General features: G+C 44.9%; 1 annotated feature.

Annotated features, from left to right (window-relative positions):
• Positions 2394 to 2688: a silencer, noted in NCBI's record as "tiled region #1657; HepG2 Repressive non-DNase unmatched - State 12:CtcfO". NCBI's record gives its function as "represses a minimal TATA promoter and a strong SV40 promoter by Sharpr-MPRA in HepG2 cells {active_cell/tissue: HepG2}" and the evidence as "EXISTENCE:reporter gene assay evidence [ECO:0000049][PMID:27701403]".

The raw sequence follows: 5950 nt of genomic DNA on the forward strand, positions 1-5950 counted from the left end.
GTGCGCCAGTAGATAGTGTGCGGGAGTTGATAGTGTGTGCCAGTTGATAGTGTGCATGAGTCGATAGTGTGCATGAGGTGAATGTGTAACAGTTGATAGTGTGTGTGAGTCGATAGTGTGCCAGTTGATAGCATGCACTAGTCAATTGTGTGCACGAGTTGATAGTGTGTGTGAGTCAATAGTGTGTAAGAGTTGATCGTGTGTACAAGTTGATAGTGTGTGTGAGTTGATAGTGTGCGCGAGTTGATAGTGCGTGAGTTGATAGTGTGTATGAGTTGATAGTTTGTGCCAGGTGATAGTGGGTGAGTTGATAGTGTGCACGAGTTGATAGTGTGCACGTGATAGTGTGTGCACGAGTTGACAGTGTGTGAGTTGATAGTGTGTCAGTTGATAGCATGTGAGTTGATAGTGTGTGCATGAGTTGCTAGTGCACGAGTTGATTGAGTTGATAGTATGCAAGTTGATAGTGTGCACGAGTTGGTATTGTGTGCAAGTTGATAGTGTGCACGAGTTGATAGTTGCAGGTTGATAGTGTGTGCACGAGTTAACAGTGTGCAAGTTGATAGTGTGTGCATGAGTTGCTAGTGCGCGAGTTGATTGAGTTGATAGTGTGCAAGTTGATAGTGTGCACAATTTGATATTGTGCGCGAGTTGATAGTGTGCACGAGTTGATAATGCGTGCGAGTTGATAGTGTGTGCGAATTGATAGGGTGCATGAGTCAGGCTACTCTGATTACTGGCTTTGCCTGCACTGCCTGTTGCGGTGGCCACGCCCACCTTGCCTTTGGTGATTGAGTGTTGCCATTTGGCTTCTGCCATCCTGAGATCCAATTACTCTCATTGCCTTGAGATCTTCAAATTGTGTGACTGGGGTCCCACTGTAAGTTCTGATCTACAGAGAAGACCAGTCCCAGCACTCTTCAGGGACACTCCAAGGACTGTCATCACCGGTTTATTTTTTAAAGCATTTGCCACAGGTATGTCTTCTGGCTCCTCCCAGTGGAGGTGAGCAGGTCTTTAATGGCAAATCCACTCTGACATTCCAATCTTCCTAAACCCTGGAATCCCATCCCCTACCTTAAATCAAGGGAGATGGGACATTTTCAGTTTGCTCATGGCGGGCCATTTTTTGACCCACATTTCAGTCAATCAACCCAGCAAACTGTTAGAGCCCTTTCCCTCTCCCTGTGTGCAACACTGCACGCAGAATCTCTGTTTGGTGGGCCCACACCAATACAGTTGGCCGGATCCAACTTGATGTTCCTTCTACCATTATCCCATACCCTTGATATCCCTCCCTGCACACTCTCCCTGGGTTTCTGTCTGTATAAATTGGAAACATAAAGTAGTTTTTTGCAGTGTAGTGCGCTCCTCACAAGCCACACGTCGACCCTCACCTTTAGGAACCTGCTGGAACTTGAGTCTGGTCATAGGTCTAGAAGCAAACAGGGGTGAGGGGGGCGGGTTCTGAGGAGAATCAGCATTGCCTTGCATGGCAACTGCCTCAGGGGAGGCCATTCACATTTCCTCTGGCCATGCAAGGTGAAACCCCTCGTAGGGATGTAGAAAGGCTGGTATCACTGCTGGGTAGGAAGGCCACATCTCCCGGGTTGGGGACAGCGCTTCTGCTGGGGCTTGCAAAGGCCACTTTTGCTGATGGTTGCGAGGTCTCTTTCACTGGCAGAAAAGACTCATCAGAATTTAGGGTCTCAGTGTCCCCAGCTTCATCAGGGTCTTCCCACACATCTCTGATCCAACGGACAGGATTCTATTCTGTCTTAATCAATGCCCTCACTTTACCAGTCATAGTAACGCAGCCAGTCTCAGTCTATGGCCTTCTTGTATTTATTATGGTGATTTTTTTTCTGTGTGTCTGGTTGTAGGGGGATTTTCACATTGAAAGCCAAAGGGGCACAGCACAGTCTCTGTCCTTGAGCTGCACCCACTTAACCAAAGTCCTGCCAGGCAGGCCTCTACTCCAGGTCTTCTGACTGCCACGTTCATATTGTTTTCACTCTTCACGGTAGCCAGGGATCCCACAGCCAAGGCCTGGGGGAGCACCTGACTAGTCGGTCGGGAAAGACACAGCCCCAAAGAGAAAAACCCAGGAGAGAAATTAGAGGGGAAAGGTGTGATCATGTCAGGATTTGATGGCTACACTGTGGTTCCTCTTGGTGACCAAGACCTCAATTCCACGAGCATTTGCCAAACACCTTTTAGGGCAGGTAGGTTCCATTCCTATACTGCCATCAATCCATAGGAACACAAGGATGAGAAGAGATAGTCCTGCCTCAGGGGTTTCCTATCTGTCAGGGAAGGTAGGTGCACAAATAGCCATACTTCTACGGTTCATGTTAATCTTCCTTTATGCAAATCTTCAGAATACAGTGTGGTTGTTTAGATAGAATCTAATAGGACCATGTAGGATCTATTGTCTAATAGGTAATTGTGTCATGGAAAAATAAAATGTATTAATTCAACATTTCATGGAAACTTTGCAGCAGCTTCAATTGGTCCTGTTTGTACCTCTCACCCCACCTTGTGGCCATTTATCTGAGTTGCAAGGTCAGTTCTTGGGTGAATCCTCTTGGAAAATGAATTTGCAGATCTAAATGTATCTTGAAATGTTACCAAACGTCTCAGAGAATGACAGCCTAACTGTTGAATGGGACATCTTTTGTACTTTGGAGCCCTGGAAACTTCTCAGTACATTTTGTCTGGCTGTTTTTTGAAACTGAAAAATATTACCTTTTCGCTTAGGTGGTTTTCATGAGTTGATTTCTAAAGAGGAAAGGATCTTTTAAGTGTTTTTTCCAGCCATGTTTTGTTAGACCAAGACAACCAGAGAGACAGAGAGAGAAAGAAAGAGAGGAAGAGAGAGAAGAAAGGTGAGGAGAGGAGAGGGGAAGAAAGAGAAAAATTAATAAAATACAAACAGTAAAACAACAACAACAACAAAAGCAAAACCAACTATTTTTGAAAGCACTAAATCTTAAATAGCACAAAAGTAAGATATTTTGTTCCAAATATATGAAGGCATTATATATGGCTATCCCATCTATCAAGTGCTGTATAGTTTTATGATCAAGACGTATTTATTAAGTAGCCTTTTTTTCCTACTAGGCATGGTGCAAAGTGAGTTAAGCAGATTAATTCCAAAGGCTTAAAGTAGCAACACCATTATTAAAAGTTACTATTATTCCAGAAGGAAAAATAAAATAGGAAAAATTAGCAGTTTGTTATTAGGTGTAAATAGTGATAACAAGAACTCAAATACTTGTTGGTGTCAAGAGATCGGGAATGGGAACCTTCAGTCTTCAGCCATGATCTTCATCAATTGGTTTTCCCATTATATGAGATTACATTTTGACATTTTCCACTCCAAAGCAACTTTAAGTCCTGTCTTCCAACCAATTGCTGCTCCTAACTCTCTCCTATAGAAATTGTGGAGCCACCATCTCTAAACATCCTGCCTAACAGGACTTCTAGAAGTTCGCCAAAGGTCTCCTCAACCCCAGTTCAGTGATATAATTTTGGTTTCTGAAGAGTGTTGACATTTATGGATCGTCTGGTTGGAGAACTAAAGAAATTTCTGGCAAGTGGATACCACATTGACAAGGTGCTCATCAGCTGGGTGAGTGAGCCAGTTAATTACTCTAGTGTGACTCACAAGCCTGCCAGTCATTAAACAAAGCAGGCTGTTCATTGTGTTTAACTGCGAGATCTGCCAGACTCAACTCAAAAGGTGGTTTCCTTTAGCTGCAAACTGCGTGCAATTCAGATCTCTCATTCCCATGACCATAAGACTGCAGGCTAATGTGAGGTCAAAAAGTATTCAAAATATCTGGCGGAAATGCCTGGTTCATATTTAAAACAAAGGTTTAGTAAAAAGAAAAGATGAAAATGATTTGAAAGGGACTAATTACAATAACCACAAATGAACCAAATAACAAGTCAAAAATTTAGCAAGAAGTCCCTGAATAGCTACTTCCCTGAGTGGCTAAGATGGCAGGTTTAAAGAGATGTAATGTGGAAGATTATTTTAATGCCCAGGAGAAAACATATATTTCATTCATAGATAATAGATATAAAATCTAAATCAGATGGGCTCACAGAGAGAAGAACAGAGAGGTAAGGAAAAAGGAGGCAGTGGAGCACATTCGTTCACTCATTCATTCATTCATTCATTCAGCATTTATTTATCGAGTGCCTAAATCTATTCATTCATTCAGCTCAGCATTCATTTGAGTGCAGGTACTCACCTAGGCAAGAATGATACCAAAGCCAGAGAGTCTGTGTTTATGGAGCTTCAGCCTAGATGGAGGCAAGAACATGAATAGTGTCAGCTGGGACCATGGCTACTAGGAGAGGTAGCTGTGCCGTATAATATTTTTAAAAGGAACAAATAGGCACAGAAAGGCTCCTGAGAAAGTGACACTTGGGTTGAAAGGGGTTAATTCCTAGACAAGAGGAGAAGAGTCCTGCAGGTAGTGGGAACAGCATGAGGAAAGGCCCTGTGGCACGAGGAGCCCGGTGAGTACAAGGGCCTGTGAAAGAGCAGTGTGGCTGCGGCGCAGGCTGTGAGCTGGTAGGACCTGGAAGATGCAGGGCTCTGAGGGCCGTGTCGGGAGTGAATCGGTAACATGCTCTGTTCCCCTGCTCCTCTCAGAAAGTAAGTAGATCTCCTGCTTAGAGGAATGTGACAAGGCAGAAAAGAACTGCAAGGCTCCTCTGGCTTTGGTTTTCATAAAAAAAAGTGTTAGTGGGTGCCTAGTGTAGTGGCTCACGCCTGTAATCCCAGCACTTTGGGAGGCCGAGGTGGGCAGATGCCTTTGAGTCCAGGAGTTTGAGACCAGCCTGGCCAAAATGGTGAAACCCTGTCCGCCAAAAAATACAAAAATAAGCCAGGCATTGTGGCTCATGCTTGTAGTTCCGGCTACTACGGAGGCTCAGGTGGGAGGATCACTTGAGCCCAGGAGCTGGAGGTTGCAGTGAGCCGAGATCACACCACTGCACTCCAGCCTGGGTGAGAGAGCGAGACCCTGTCTCAAAAATAAAAATAAAAATAAAATAAAATAAAATAAAATAAAATGTGTTAGGGGAATGCAAGGGACTCCCAATTCAGGAAAAATGTTTAGAAGGTCTCCTTCCATTAAACTTGAAAGAGTTCCCTGGGGGCTGAGGAAGGAAGAGGAAGGTGAGGAAAGGGGTGGATGTGGGTGCAGAGGATCCCACTGAGAGGGTTCCTGCTCTCCACTCTTCCTAGAGAACCCAGGGTGGTCAGGGGGCTTAGGTGGGAGTGGGGAAGGCCCACGGGAAGGTCAGGCAGCTGGGGCCTTGGGCAGCCTCACAACATGGCTAAGGGGCATCAGAAAGAGCCACTGAGCCTGGCAGACCATGTGGTCCCATTGGGGCAGGATGAGGGATGTTTCAGCAGTGACCCAGGAGGACCCGTGACAATCTGGGCCTCTGTCTGGACCCCTCCCCATACACATCATGGGAGACCCCTAGACTGTAGATCCAGTCCCAGGGAAGGCAGAATCGGGTGCGTGAAATTTACAGATTAACTGGGATGTGATTCTTGCAAATGCAACCATACCGAGATAACAGAGAGGAAAGGAGGTGGGGGAAGAGAGACCTTTTATTTCTGCACTTCTATAAGCATAGACTACCTCTGGAAAGATAGGCAAAAATCACTGGCTGTGGTTGTCTTTGGTGAGGGAATACGTGACAAGGGAGATAAACTTTGGCTCTTTGTCCTTTTGAGTTTTGTGACACACGTACCACTTACTTATTTTCAAAAATGTGAGCAATGTTGAAAATCCTAACACTAGATAGAGATGAATTTGTTTATTTTTTGTGGGGTTTTCAATTTGCTTTAGCAGACGAGAAAACTTAGAATCTAGTGCTTTTACCAAGGGGCTCCAACTCGCCTTAGTCGGGGGACTGC

Source organism: Homo sapiens, chromosome 6, assembly GCF_000001405.40.
Source record: "Homo sapiens chromosome 6, GRCh38.p14 Primary Assembly".
NCBI classification, from domain to species: domain Eukaryota; kingdom Metazoa; phylum Chordata; class Mammalia; order Primates; family Hominidae; genus Homo; species Homo sapiens.